Source organism: Homo sapiens, chromosome 4 (assembly GCF_000001405.40).
Source record: "Homo sapiens chromosome 4, GRCh38.p14 Primary Assembly".
Taxonomy (NCBI): Eukaryota; Metazoa; Chordata; class Mammalia; order Primates; family Hominidae; genus Homo; species Homo sapiens.
Genome location: NC_000004.12, coordinates 78,103,470 through 78,118,864, shown reverse-complemented (window position 1 = coordinate 78,118,864; position 15,395 = coordinate 78,103,470). Strand labels below are relative to the sequence as shown.

The following is a 15,395-nucleotide window of genomic DNA, read 5'->3' as shown; positions in this document are numbered from 1 at the left end:
GGGTGCATCTCACTGGGGAGTGTCGGAGAGTGGGTGCAGGACAGTGAGTGCAGCGCACCGAGTGCAAGCCGAAGGAGGGTGAGGCATTGCCTCACCCGGGAAGGGCAAGGGGTCAGGGAATTCCCTTTCCTAGTCAAAGAAAGGGTTGACAGACAGCACCTGGAAAATCGGGTCACTCCCACCCTGATACTGTGCTTTTCCAACGGTCTTAGCAAATGGCACACCAGGAGATTGTATCCTGGGCCTGGATCTGAGGGTCCTATGCCCACGGAGCCTCGCTCATTGCTAGCACAGCAGTCTGAGATCAAACTGCAAGGCGGCAGTGAGGCTGGGGGAGGGGTGCCCACCATTGCCAAGTCTTGAGTAGGTAAACAAAGCAGCCGGGAAGCTCGATCTGCAGCTCAAGGAGGCCTGCCTGCCTCTGTAGACTCCACCTCTGGGGGCAGGTCATAGCCAAAAGCCAAACAAAAGGCAGCACCTCTGCAGACTTAAATGTCCCTGTCTGACAGCGTTGAGGAGAGCAGTGGTTCTCCCAGCACGCAGCTGGACATCTGTGAATGGACAGACTGCCTCCTCAAGTGGGTCCCTGGTCCCCGAGTAGCCTAACTGGGAGGCACCCCCCAGTAGGGGCAGACTGACACCTCACATGGCCGGGTACTCCTCTGACACAAAACTTCCAGAGCAATGATCAGGCAGCAACATTTGCTGTTCACCAATATCTGCTGTTCTGCAGGCTCCGCTGCTGATACCCAGGCAAAGAGGGTCTGGAGTGGACCTCCAGCAAAATCCAACAGACCTGCAGCTGAGGGTCCTGACTGTTAGAAGGAAAACTAACAAACAGAAAGGACATCCACACCAAAACCCCATCTGTTCGTCACCATCATCAAAGACCAAAGGTAGATAAAACCACAAAGATGGGGAAAAAACAGAGCAGAAAAACTGGAAACTCTAAAAATCAGACAACCTCTCCTCCACCAAAGGAATGCAGCTCCTCACCAGCAATGGAACAAAGCTGGACGGAGAATGACTTTGATGAGCTGAGAGAAGAAGGCTTCAGACGATCAAACTACTCCGAGCTAAAGGAGGAAGTTCGAACCCATGGCAAAGAAGTTAAAAACCTTGAAAAAAAAATTAGATGAATGGCTAACTAGAATAACCAATGCAGAGAAATCTTCAAAAGACCTGATGGAGCTGAAAACCATGGCACGAGAACTACATGATGAATGCAAGCCTCAGTAGCTGATTCGATCAACTAGAAGAAAGGGTATCAGTGACGGAAGAGCAAATGAATGAAATGAAGCGAGAAGAGAAGTTTAGAGAAAAAGAATAAAAAGAAATTAACAAAGCCTCCAAGAAATAAGGGACTATGTGAAAAAACCAAATCTACGTCTGATTGGTGTATCTGAAAGTGACAGGGAGAACGGAACCAAGTTGGAAAACACTCTGCAGGATATTATCCAAGAGAACTTACCCAATCTAGCAAGGCAGGCCAACATTCAAATGTAGGAAATATAGAGAACGCCACAAAGATATTCCTCGAGAAGAGCAACTCCAAGACACATAATTGTCCGATTCACCAAAGTTGAAATGAAGGAAAAAATGTTAAGGGCAGCCAGAGAGAAAGGTCAGGTTACCCACAAAGGGAAGCCCATCAGACCAACAGCTGATCTCTTGGCAGAAACTCTACAAGCCAGAAGAGAGTGGGGGCCAATATTCAACATTCTTTAAAGACAAGCATTTTCAACCCAGAATTTCAAATCCAGACAAACTAAGCTTCATAAGTGAAGGAGAAATAAAATCCTTTAGAGACAAACAAATGCTGAGAGATTTTGTCGCCACCAGGCCTGCCCTAAAAGAACTCCTGAAGGAAGCACTAAACATGGAAAGGAACAACTGGTAAGACCCACTGCAAAAACATGCCAAATTGTAAAGATCATCAAGGCTAGGAAGAAACTGCATCAACTAATGAGCAAAATAACCAGCTAACATCATAATGACAGGATCAAATTCACACATAACAAAATTAACCTTAAATGTAAATGGGCTAAGTGCTCCAATTAAAAGACACAGACTGGTAAATGGGATAAAGAGTCAAGACCAATCAGTGTGCTGTATTCAGGTGACCCATCTCACGTGCAGAGACACACATAGGCTCAAAATAAAGGGATGGAGGAAGATCTACCAAGCAAATGGAAAACAAAAAAAGGCAGGGATTGCAATCCTAGTCTCTGATAAAACAGACTTTAAACCAAGAAAGATCAAAAGAGACAAAGAAGGCCATTACGTAATGGTAAAGGGATCAATTCAACAAGAAGAGCTAATTATCCTAAATATATATGAACCCAATACAGGAGCACCCAGATTCATAAAGCAAGTCCTTAGAGACCTACAAAGAGACTTAGACTCCCACACAATAATAATGGGAAACTTTAACACCCCACTGTCAACATTAGACAGATCAACGAGACAGAAAGTTAACAAGGATATCCAGGAATTAAACTCAGCTCTGCACCAAGGCAACCTAATAGACATCTGCAGAACTCTCCACCCCAAATCAACAGAATACACATTCTTTTCAGCACCACACCACACCTATTCCAAAATTGACTACATAGTTGGAAGTAAAGCACTCCTTGGCAAATGTAAAAGAACAGACATTATAACAAACTGTCTCTCAGACCACAGGGCAATCAAACTAGAACTCAGGATTAAGACACTCACTCAAAACTGCTCAACTACATGGAAAATGAATAACCTGCTCCTGAATGACTACTGGGTACATAATGAAATGAAGGCAGAAATAAAGATGTTCTTTGAAACCAATGAGAACAAAGACACAACATACCAGAATCTCTGGGACACATTAAAAGCAGTGTGTAGACGGAAATTTATAGCACTAAATGTCCACAAGAGAAAGCAGGAAAGATCTAAAATTGACAACCTAACATCACAATTAAAACAACTAGAGAAGCAAGAGAAAATACACTCAAAAGCTAGCAGAAGGCAAAAAATAACTAAGATCAGAGAAGAACTGAAGGAAATAGACACACAAAAAAAACTTCAAAAAATCAATGAATCCAGGAGCTGATTTTTTGAAAAGATCAACAAAATTGATAGACCACTATCAAGACTAATAAAGAAGAAAAGAGAGAAGAATCAAATAGATGCAATAAAAAATGAAAAAGTGGATATCACCACCTATCCCACAGAAATACAAACTACCATCAGAGAATACTATAAACACCTCTACACAAACAAACTAGAAAATCTAGAAGAAATGGATAAATTCCTGGACACATACACCCTCCCAAGACCAAACCAGGAAGAAGTTGAATCTCTGAATAGATCAATAACAGGCTCTGAAATTGAGGCAATAATTAATAGCTTACCAACCAAAAAAAGTCCAGGACAAGATGGATTCACAGCCGAATTCTACCAGAGGTACAAGGAGGAGCTGGTACCATTCCTTCTGAAACTATTCCAATCAATAGAAAAAGAGGAAATCCTCCCTAAGTTATTTTATGAGGCCAGCATCATCCTGATACCAAAGCCTGGCAGAGACACAACAAAAAAATAGAATTTCAGACCAATATCCGTGATGAACATGGATGCAAAAATCCTCAATAAAATACTGGCAAACCGAATCCAGCAGCACATCAATAAGCGTATCCACCATGATCAAGTGGGCTTCATCCCTGGGATGCAAGGCTGGTTCAACATACAAAAATCAATAAACGTAATCTAGCATATAAACAGAACCAAAGACAAAAACCACATGATTATCTCAATAGTGCAGAAAAGGCCTTTGACAAAATTCAACAATCCTTCATGCTAAAAACTCTCAATAAATTAGGTATTGATGGGACGTATCTCAAAATAATAAGAGCCATCTATGACAAACCCACAGCCAATATCATACTGAATGGGCAAAAACTGGAAGCATTCCCTTTGAAAACTGGCACAAGACAGGGATGCCCTCTCTCACCACTCCTATTCAACATAGTGTTGGAAGTTCTGGCCAGGGCAATCAGGCAGGAGAAGGAAATAAGGGATTTTTCAATTAGGAAAAGAGGAAGTCACATTGTCCCTGTTTGCAGATGACATGACTGTATATCTAGAAAACCCCATCGTATCAGCCCAAAATCTCCTTAAGCTGACAGGCAACTTCAGCAAAGTCTTAGGATACAAAATCAATGTGCAAAAATCACAAGCATTCTTATACACCAATAACAGACAAACAGAGAGCCAAATCATGAGTGAACCCCCATTCACAATTGCTTCAGAGAGAATAAAATACCTAGGAATCCAACTTAAAGGGACATGAAGGACCTCTTCAAGAGAACTACAAACCACTGCTCAATGAAATAAAAGAGGATACAAACAAATGGAAGAACATTCCATGCTCATGAGCAGGAAGAATCAATATCATGAAAATGGCCATACTTCCCAAGGTAATTTATAGATTCAAAGCCATCCCCATCAACCTACCAATGACTTTCTTCACAGAATTGGAAAAAACTACTTTAAAGTTCATATGGAACCAAAAAAAGAGCCTGCATTGCCAAGTCAATCCTAAGCCAAAAGAACAAAGCTGGAGGCATCACGCTACCTGACTTCAAACTATACTACAAGGCTACAGTAACCAAAACAGCATGCTACTGGTACCCAAACAGATATATAGACCAATGGAACAGAACAGAGCCCTCAGAAGTAATGCCGCATACCTACAACTATCTGATCTTTGACAAACCTGAGAAAAACAAGCAATGGGGAAAGAATTCCCTATTTAATAAATGGTGCTGGGAAAACTGGCTAGCCATATATAGAAAGCTGAAACTAGATCCCTTCCTTACACCTTATACAAAAATTAATTCAAGATGGATTAAAGACTTACATGTTAGACCTAAAACCATAAAAACCCTAGAAGAAAACCTAGGCAATACCATTCAGGACATAGGCATGGGCAAGGACTTCATGTCTAATACACCAAAAGCAATGGCAACAAAAGCCAAAATTGACAAATGGGATCTCATTGAACTAAAGAACTTCTGCACAGCAAAAGAAACTACCATCAGAGAGACCAGGCAACCTACAGAACGGGAGAAAATTTTTGCAATCTACTCATCTAACAAAGGGCTAATATCCAGAATCTACAATGAACTCAAACAAATTTACAAGAAAAAAACAAACAACCCCATCAACAAGTGGGCAAAGGATATGAACAGACATTTCTCAAAAGAAGACATTTATGGAGCCAAAAGACACATGAAAAAATGCTCATCATCACTGGCCATCAAAGAAATGCAAATCAAAACCACAATGAGATACCATCTCACACCAGTTAGAATGGCGATCATTAAAAAGTCAGGAAACAACAGGTGCTGGAGAGGATGTGGAGAAATAGGAACACTTTTACACTGTTGGTGGGACTGTAAACTAGTTCAACCATTGTGGAAGTCAGTGTGACGATTCCTCAGGGATCTAGAACTAGAAATACCATTTGACCCAGCCATCCCATTACTGGTTACATACCCAAAGGATTATAAATCATGCTGCTATAAAGACACGTGCACACTTATGTTTGTTGCGGCACTATTCACAATAGCAAAGACTTGGAACTAACCCAAATGTCCAACAATGATAGACTGGATTAAGAAAATGTGGAATATATATACCATGGAATACTATGCAGCCATAAAAAATGATGAGTTCATGTCCTTTGTAGGGACATGGATGAAGCTGGAAACCATCATTCTCAGCAAACTATCGCAAGGATGAAAAACCAAACACCGCATGTTCTCACTCATAGGTGGGAATTGAACAATGAGAACACATGGACATAGGAAGGGGAACATCACACACTGGGGCCTGTTGTGGGGTGGAGGGAGCGGGGAGGGATAGCATTAGAAGATATACCTAATGTTAAATGACGAGTTAATGGGTGCAGCACACCAATATGGCACATGTATACATATGAAACAAACCTGCACGTTGTGCACATGTACCCTAAAACTTAAAGTATAATAAAAAAATGAATAAATAAATAAATAATAAAGTAAAAATTTAAAAAAATAAAATGCCCGACCTTAACTTGCTGACATAGCTTTGTCAGACACTGTTAGATATATAATAAATGTATTAAAAGAAAAATATATCTATGAAGCATAGACATTTGATTGTTTTGGTTTGGCCATTTCATAACTGCACTAACTAAGAAATAAGTAGCCATGTACAAAATCCGTTTGGCAAGAACAAGTACTACTTACATAGTACTAATCTTTCAAGAGTGTTTCACAAGCCATTTCTGGAGTTCAAAATATTAATGATTTGCATTAATAGTTTGTGTTGCACGTTAATGTTTTAAAGCCCATTCACAAGCCAGGGACCTCAAAAAAAGTTATCAGAAAAAAAAGTCACCTAACAGAAAAGCTCACAAACTACCAAGATAAAAAATAATAATAAAATAAATCACAGACTCATGAATCTCCAGATCTACAGATTGCAGAGGTTAAGTCTAAATGTAAATATGTGTATGAAGTGATTGGTGAGTCTTTTAAAAAGCCAGGTTCCCAATATGTATTTGTTGATTTATTCATTTTTTTCAGCTAGCTTTTGACATGACTTTTCTATACCTTATGGTAAAATAATGTTATTACTTTTTATCAAGCACAAAAATATGCTAACCACATGCAATTAGACATTTTTCCTTTCTCCTTTGGAGAATTCTTATCTAAAATTTAGATTCATGATATGAAAAATACAGAAAAAAAGGGCAACACATTCCCTAAGGTGAAGGAGATTATCAAAGAAATTGTCAATACAGTACAAAACTGGCATGTCAAAGATTCCAAAAATTGCTTTTTTCTGGATTTTTTAAAACATACATTCTTAAGTTTTTCTAATCTGGGATCTTTGCCTACCTCTTGAAAACAATGTCATCAGAAGTGTGTAATATGGCTGCAGTAAGCCTGCTTTTCTCATATTATTCTCCTATGTGTTTTATTCTCCTTTTATTTTCTACGTTTTTTCTTTCTGTCTCAGTGAACTATTCAGGACTTTTACATTGTTGCAAAACAGACAGAACCTCATCTTTTTTTTTTTTTTTTTTTTTTATTATACTCTAAGTTTTAGGGTACATGTGCACATTGTGCAGGTTAGTTACATATGTATACATGTGCCATGCTGGTGCGCTGCACCCACTAATGTGTCATCTAGCATTAGGTATATCTCCCAATGCTATCCCTCCCCCCTCCCCCGACCCCACCACAGTCCCCAGAGTGTGATATTCCCCTTCCTGTGTCCATGTGATCTCATTGTTCAATTCCCACCTATGAGTGAGAATATGCGGTGTTTGGTTTTTTGTTCTTGCGATAGTTTACTGAGAATGATGGTTTCCAATTTCATCCATGTCCCTACAAAGGATATGAACTCATCATTTTTTATGGCTGCATAGTATTCCATGGTGTATATGTGCCACATTTTCTTAATCCAGTCTATCATTGTTGGACATTTGGGTTGGTTCCAAGTCTTTGCTATTGTGAATAGTGCCGCAATAAACATACGTGTGCATGTGTCTTTATAGCAGCATGATTTATAGTCCTTTGGGTATATACCCAGTAATGGGATGGCTGGGTCAAATGGTATTTCTAGTTCTAGATCCCTGAGGAATCACCACACTGACTTCCACAATGGTTGAACTAGTTTACAGTCCCACCAACAGTGTAAAAGTGTTCCTATTTCTCCACATCCTCTCCAGCACCTGTTGTTTCCTGACTTTTTAATGATTGCCATTCTAACTGGTGTGAGATGATATCTCATAGTGGTTTTGATTTGCATTTCTCTGATGGCCAGTGATGATGAGCATTTCTTCATGTGTTTTTTGGCTGCATAAATGTCTTCTTTTGAGAAGTGTCTGTTCATGTCCTTCACCCACTTGTTGATGGGGTTGTTTGTTTTTTTCTTGTAAATTTGTTTGAGTTCATTGTAGATTCTGGATATTAGCCCTTTGTCAGATGAGTAGGTTGCGAAAATTTTCTCCCATGTTGTAGGTTGCCTGTTCACTCTGATGGTAGTTTCTTTTGCTGTGCAGAAGCTCTTTAGTTTAATGAGATCCCATTTGTCAATTTTGGCTTTTGTTGCCATTGCTTTTGGTGTTTTGGACATGAAGTCCTTGCCCACGCCTATGTCCTGAATGGTAATGCCTAGGTTTTCTTCTAGGGTTTTTATGGTTTTAGGTCTAACGTTTAAATCTTTAATCCATCTTGAATTGATTTTTGTATAAGGTGTAAGGAAGGGATCCAGTTTCAGCTTTCTACATATGGCTAGCCAGTTTTCCCAGCACCATTTATTAAATAGGGAATCCTTTCCCCATTGCTTGTTTTTCTCAGGTTTGTCAAAGATCAGATAGTTGTAGACATGCGGCATTATTTCTGAGGGCTCTGTTCTGTTCCATTGATCTATATCTCTGTTTTGGTACCAGTACCATGCTGTTTTGGTTACTGTAGCCTTGTATTATAGTTTGAACTCAGGTAGTGTGATGCCTCCAGCTTTGTTCTTTTGGCTTAGGATTGACTTGGCGATGCGGGCTCTTTTTTGGTTCCATATGAACTTTAAAGTAGTTTTTTCCAATTCTGTGAAGAAAGTCATTGGTAGCTTGATGGGGATGGCATTGAATCTGTAAATTACCTTGGGCAGTATGGCCATTTTCACGATATTGATTCTTCCTACCCATGAGCATGGAATGTTCTTCCATTTGTTTGTGTCCTCTTTTATTTCCTTGAGCAGTGGTTTGTAGTTCTCCTTGAAGAGGTCCTTCACATCCCTTGTAAGTTGGATTCCTAGGTATTTTATTCTCTTTGAAGCAATTGTGAATGGGAGTTCACCCATGATTTGGCTCTCTGTTTGTCTGTTGTTGGTGTATAAGAATGCTTGTGACTTTTGTACATTGATTTTGTATCCTGAGACTTTGCTGAAGTTGCTTATCAGCTTAAGGAGATTTTGGGCTGAGACGATGGGGTTTTCTAGATAAACAATCATGTCGTCTGCAAACAGGGACAATTTGACTTCCTCTTTTCCTAATTGAATACCCTTTATTTCCTTCTCCTGCCTGATTGCCCTGGCCAGAACTTCCAACACTATGTTGAATAGGAGCGGTGAGAGAGGGCATCCCTGTCTTGTGCCAGTTTTCAAAGGGAATGCTTCCAGTTTTTGCCCATTCAGTATGATATTGCCTGTGGGTTTGTCATAGATAGCTCTTATTATTTTGAAATACGTCCCATCAATACCTAATTTATTGAGAGTTTTTAGCATGAAGGGTTGTTGAATTTTGTCAAAGGCTTTTTCTGCATCTATTGAGATAATCATGTGGTTTTTGTCTTTGGCTCTGTTTATATGCTAGATTACGTTTATTGATTTTCGTATGTTGAACCAGCCTTGCATCCCAGGGATGAAGCCCACTTGATCATGGTGGATAAGCTTTTTGATGTGCTGCTGGATTCGGTTTGCCAGTATTTTATTGAGGATTTTTGCATCAATGTTCATCAAGGATATTGGTCTAAAATTCTCTTTTTTGGTTGTGTCTCTGCCCGGCTTTGGTATCAGAATGATGCTGGCCTCATAAAATGAGTTAGGGAGGATTCCCTCTTTTTCTATTGATTGGAATAGTTTCAGAAGGAATGGTACCAGTTCCTCCTTGTACCTCTGGTAGAATTCGGCTGTGAATCCATCTGGTCCTGGACTCTTTTTGGTTGGTAAACTATTGATTATTGCCACAATTTCAGAGCCTGTTATTGGTCTATTCAGAGATTCAACTTCTTCCTGGTTTAGTCTTGGGAGAGTGTATGTGTCGAGGAATGTATCCATTTCTTCTAGATTTTCTAGTTTATTTGCGTAGAGGTGTTTGTAGTATTCTCTGATGGTAGTTTGTATTTCTGTGGGATCGGTGGTGATATCCCCTTTATCATTTTTTATTGTGTCTATTTGATTCTTCTCTCTTTTTTTCTTTGTCATCTTGCTAGCGGTCTATCAATTTTGTTGATCCTTTCAAAAAACCAGCTCCTGGATTCATTGATTTTTTGAAGGGTTTTTTGTGTCTCTATTTCCTTCAGTTCTGCTCTGATTTTAGTTATTTCTTGCCTTCTGCTAGCTTTTGAATGTGTTTGCTCTTGCTTTTCTAGTTCTTTTAATTGTGATGTTAGGGTGTCAATTTTGGATCTTTCCTGCTTTCTCTTGTAGGCATTTAGTGCTATAAATTTCCCTCTACACACTGCTTTGAATGTGTCCCAGAGATTCTGGCATGTGGTGTCTTTGTTCTCGTTGGTTTCAAAGAACATCTTTATTTCTGCCTTCATTTCGTTATGTACCCAGTAGTCATTCAGGAGCAGGTTGTTCAGTTTCCATGTAGTTGAACGGCTTTGAGTGAGATTCTTAATCCTGAGTTCTAGTTTGATTGCACTGTGGTCTGAGAGATAGTTTGTTATAATTTCTGTTCTTTTACATTTGCTGAGGAGAGCTTTACTTCCAACTATGTGGTCAATTTTGGAATAGGTGTGGTGTGGTGCTGAAAAAAATGTATATTCTGTTGATTTGGGGTGGAGAGTTCTGTAGATGTCTATTAGGTCTGCTTGGTGCAGAGCTGAGTTCAATTCCTGGGTATCCTTGTTGACTTTCTGTCTCGTTGATCTGTCTAATGTTGACAGTGGGGTGTTAAAGTCTCCCATTATTAATGTGTGGGAGTCTAAGTCTCTTTGTAGGTCACTGAGGACTTGCTTTATGAATCTGGGTGCTCCTGTATTGGGTGCATAAATATTTAGGATAGTTAGCTCCTCTTGTTGAATTGATCCCTTTACCATTATGTAATGGCCTTCTTTGTCTCTTTTGATCTTTGTTGGTTTAAAGTCTGTTTTATCAGAGACTAGGATTGCAACCCCTGCCTTTTTTTGTTTTCCATTGGCTTGGTAGATCTTCCTCCATCCTTTTATTTTGAGCCTATGTGTGTCTCTGCACGTGGGATGGGTTTCCTGAATACAGCACACTGATGGGTCTTGACTCTTTATCCAACTTGCCAGTCTGTGTCTTTTAATTGCAGAATTTAGTCCATTTATATTTAAAGTTAATATTGTTATGTGTGAATTTGATCCTGTCATTATGATGTTAGCTGGTGATTTTGCTCATTAGTTGATGCAGTTTCTTCCTAGTCTCGATGGTCTTTACATTTTGGCATGATTTTGCAGCGGCTGGTACCGGTTGTTCCTTTCCATGTTTAGCGCTTCCTTCAGGAGCTCTTTTAGGGCAGGCCTGGTGGTGACAAAATCTCTCAGCATTTGCTTGTCTATAAAGTATTTTATTTCTCCTTCACTTATGAAGCTTAGTTTGGCTGGATATGAAATTCTGGGTTGAAAATTCTTTTCTTTAAGAATGTTGAATATTGGCCCCCACTCTCTTCTGGCTTGTAGGGTTTCTGCCGAGAGATCCGCCGTTAGTCTGATGGGCTTTCCTTTGAGGGTAACCCGACCTTTCTCTCTGGCTGCCCTTAACATTTTTTCCTTCATTTCAACTTTGGTGAATCTGACAATTATGTGTCTTGGAGTTGCTCTTCTCGAGGAGTATCTTTGTGGCGTTCTCTGTATTTCCTGAATCTGAACGTTGGCCTGCCTTGCTAGATTGGGGAAGTTCTCCTGGATAATATCCTGCAGAGTGTTTTCCAACTTGGTTCCATTCTCCACATCACTTTCAGGTACACCAATCAGATGTAGATTTGGTCTTTTCACATAGTCCCATATTTCTTGGAGGCTTTGCTCATTTCTTTTTATTCTTTTTTCTCTAAACTTCCCTTCTCGCTTCATTTCATTCATTTCATCTTCCATTGCTGATACCCTTTCTTCCAGTTGATCGCATCGGCTCCTGAGGCTTCTGCATTCTTCACGTAGTTCTCGAGCCTTGGTTTTCAGCTCCATCAGCTCCTTTAAGCACTTCTCTGTATTGGTTATTCTAGTTATACATTCTTCTAAATTTTTTTCAAAGTTTTCAACTTCTTTGCCTTTGGTTTGAATGTCCTCCCGTAGCTCAGAGTAATTTGATTGTCTGAAGCCTTCTTCTCTCAGCTCGTCAAAATCATTCTCCATCCAGCTTTGTTCTGTTGCTGGTGAGGAACTGTGTTCCTTTGGAGGAGGAGAGGCGCTCTGCGTTTTAGAGTTTCCAGTTTTTCTGTTCTGTTTTTTCCCCATCTTTGTGGTTTTATCTACTTTTGGTCTTTGATGATGGTGATGTACAGATGGGTTTTCGGTGTAGATGTCCTTTCTGGTTGTTAGTTTTCCTTCTAACAGACAGGACCCTCAGCTGCAGGTCTGTTGGAATACCCTGCCGTGTGAGGTGTCAGTGTGCCCCTGCTGGGGGGTGCCTCCCAGTTAGGCTGCTCGGGGGTCAGGGGTCAGGGACCCACTTGAGGAGGCAGTCTGCCCGTTCTCAGATCTCCAGCTGCGTGCTGGGAGAACCACTGCTCTCTTCAAAGCTGTCAGACAGGGACACTTAAGTCTGCAGAGGTTACTGCTGTCTTTTTGTTTGCCTGTGCCCTGCCCCCAGAGGTGGAGCCTACAGAGGCAGGCAGGCCTCCTTGAGCTGTGGTGGGCTCCACCCAGTTCGAGCTTCCCAGCTGCTTTGTTTACCTAAGCAAGCCTGGGCAATGGCGGGCGCCCCTCCCCCAGCCTAGTTGCCGCCTTGCAGTTTGATCTCAGACTGCTGTGCTAGCAATCAGCGAGATTCCGTGGGCATAGGACCCTCTGAGCCAGGTGTGGGATATAGTCTCGTGGTGCGCCGTTTCTTAAGCCGGTCTGAAAAGCGCAATATTCGGGTGGGAGTGACCCGATTTTCCAGGTGCATCCGTCACCCCTTTCTTTGACTCGGAAAGGGAACTCCCTGACCCCTTGCGCTTCCCAAGTGGGGCAATGCCTTGCCCTGCTTCGGCTCGCGCACGGTGCGCGCACACACTGGCCTGCGCCCACTGTCTGGCACTCCCTAGTGAGATGAACCCGGTACCTCAGATGGAAATGCAGAAATCATCCGTCTTCTGCGTCGCTCACGCTGGGAGCTGTAGACCGGAGCTGTTCCTATTCGGCCATCTTGGCTCCTCCTCTCATCTTACATTTCACAATTTATTCACTGAGATTATATATTGTCACATTTCTTATTTTATCCTATTTTCAACAGTTGTACATTTCCCCTGTGATGTTAAGACTAATATGTTCAAAAACGATGGTGAGGAACACACATCCTCTCCCCCATCTCTTGTCAAACACATGCAAAAGAGAATTCGTATCGGTCTTTATAAGTACCAAGGAGTCTCCCTCCTGTTATCTTTCCTCATATCCTCCCCTGGCCCTTTGAGAGGAGCAAATAAAGAGCTCATGGTTTAGGATATGAGTATCTCTCCTTTCATTGTGCCGTTAGTTATATTGAGAGAGAAAAAAATAAACAGAAAAGCACATCTAGAGTGCTTTGAATAGCCAAATTTCTAGAACTTCCTGATGCCTGTCAACCACTCCATCCCTCTTAATCTCCTTCAAAATGAGGATTGTGGATGGACAATATATAACCATATAGAAATATGTCAGGTAAAATCAACAGTCCAGAGCAGATGTGGAAGGCAAGTATTCCCATTAAACATTTACTCTTCAGAGGACTCTGCCAAGCCAAGCCTAAATTCTGCCTTCAGAACAAAGGTAAGCACTCTTTCAGACTGGTGGGCATATCCACAGGGAGCCAGCTGATGCCAGGAGGAGAAATTGGGAGAACAGCAGGCTTTCTAAGCAATTTGGAACTAAAGGAAGGAAAACCCTGGAAAGGAAACCAAACTACTAATGAATATGATCAATCTAAATCAGAAAAAAACATCAATGGAGGAAGCAAGTTTACAAAGCAAGGTTAGGCTGAACACCTTGTCTGAGAGTCAGGATTAGTTCAATTTTATTATAAAACTATCATAACAATATAAAACATTCTAAAATCTTAATAGAAAAGTGTTGCAGGACCTGAAGTACAGAATAAGGGTACAATTCTAGAATAGGGCTCTTAAGTATCTATTAAGTATCTGCCTTCTCCCCCATTCAGTTGAAAGTTCTTCTAAGATGACTGTAAGTTCTTTGAAGACAAGCATTTCATGTCTCATTTCCATACCACCAACACCTGGCATGGAAAACATATCAGCTCTGCAATAAATTTCTGCTGAACTGACTGAATGAATAAACAAATTTATACCTACTTTTCTCCTTTAAATGAATTAATTAACAGGCAACACGAAAGCAAGTGAAAAAGTACATATGGTGAACCATTTAATCTTGCTAGTGAGATCAGACCTATTTATTCAAATGAATAAGACAATGGTCTAAGTTGTATACAGATAAGATCAGTGTATGTGCCCCAGTAGTTCAAAGGAAGAAAAATCTTAGTGGGTGGCATCAGATCTCCCTCTTCCCCACCCATCTGCCAAGGTTGTGTTTTCTAACTTCTTACTATCTCAGGCCCTTTGATAGATTTATATTAAGTATTTTTAAATTGTTTGCATATTATGGAGCAAACATGTTAACATTATAATTGCCAAAGGAACTGTAGTGAATCTGGCGGTAACTTGGTTCATGTGAAATTAGCAGCAGTACCTCAAGAAGTTCCTGTTCAGATTTATTTTCTAAACATCTTATTTTTGCCTTGTGTTGAGTGCCAAAGTTATGCCACAAACATTCCTGGAAGAAGTTGTAGTAAAATATTAAATAAAACAGTCACAGTTTCGTAGTGATGCAGGAGGTACTAGCTAAGCCCTGAGCTAAGTGAGCTGTAAGCATGCAGGAGGCTACTTTTTACAAGTGCATGTTGCATTCTACTGGTCCCAATAAACACTGAGTGCAGGAAGGTGCTGCTATCTGGCACAACTGGACATAGAGCCTAGTTCCACCAGCACTACTGATTTGCAAAGCTAAGATAAAGAACTGTGTCGTAGTCCATTTAGGCCGCTATAACAAAATATTTTACATTGGGTAGCTTATAAACAATAGAAATTTATTTCTCATAGTTCTGGAGGCTGGAAGTCCCAGATCAAAGTGCCAGCTGGTTCAGTGTCTAGTGACGGCCCACTTTCTCATAGACAATGACTTTTCACTGTGTCCTCACATGGTGAAAGGGGTTGGCTGGGTCTCTGAGCTCTCTTTTATATAGGCACTAACCCCAATCATGAGGGCTCTTCCCTCGTCATCTAATCACATCCCATAGACCCTGTTTTCTAAAACCGTTACCTTAGGAGTTAGGATTTCAACATCTGAATTCTGGAGGGACACAAGCATTCAAACCATAGCAAACTATAATACATTACCCTTCATAAATGCACATCCCTGCTAGGCTCACCTCTCTAT

At 40.6% G+C, this 15,395-nt stretch overlaps 1 protein-coding gene across 2 annotated transcripts in view, besides 1 other annotated feature; it reads right to left on the bottom strand.

Moving 5' to 3' along the window:
- The window catches only part of FRAS1 (Fraser extracellular matrix complex subunit 1), a 486,947-nt gene that overhangs the window by 425,405 nt on the left and 46,147 nt on the right, over positions 1-15,395 (bottom strand). The window lies entirely within an intron of this gene.
- Positions 12,857-13,471: an enhancer, noted in NCBI's record as "NANOG-H3K27ac-H3K4me1 hESC enhancer chr4:79026548-79027162 (GRCh37/hg19 assembly coordinates)". NCBI's record gives its function as "activates a minimal SCP1, AML or CMV promoter by ChIP-STARR-seq in naive H9 embryonic stem cells {active_cell/tissue: H9 hESC(naive)}" and the evidence as "EXISTENCE:reporter gene assay evidence [ECO:0000049][PMID:30033119]".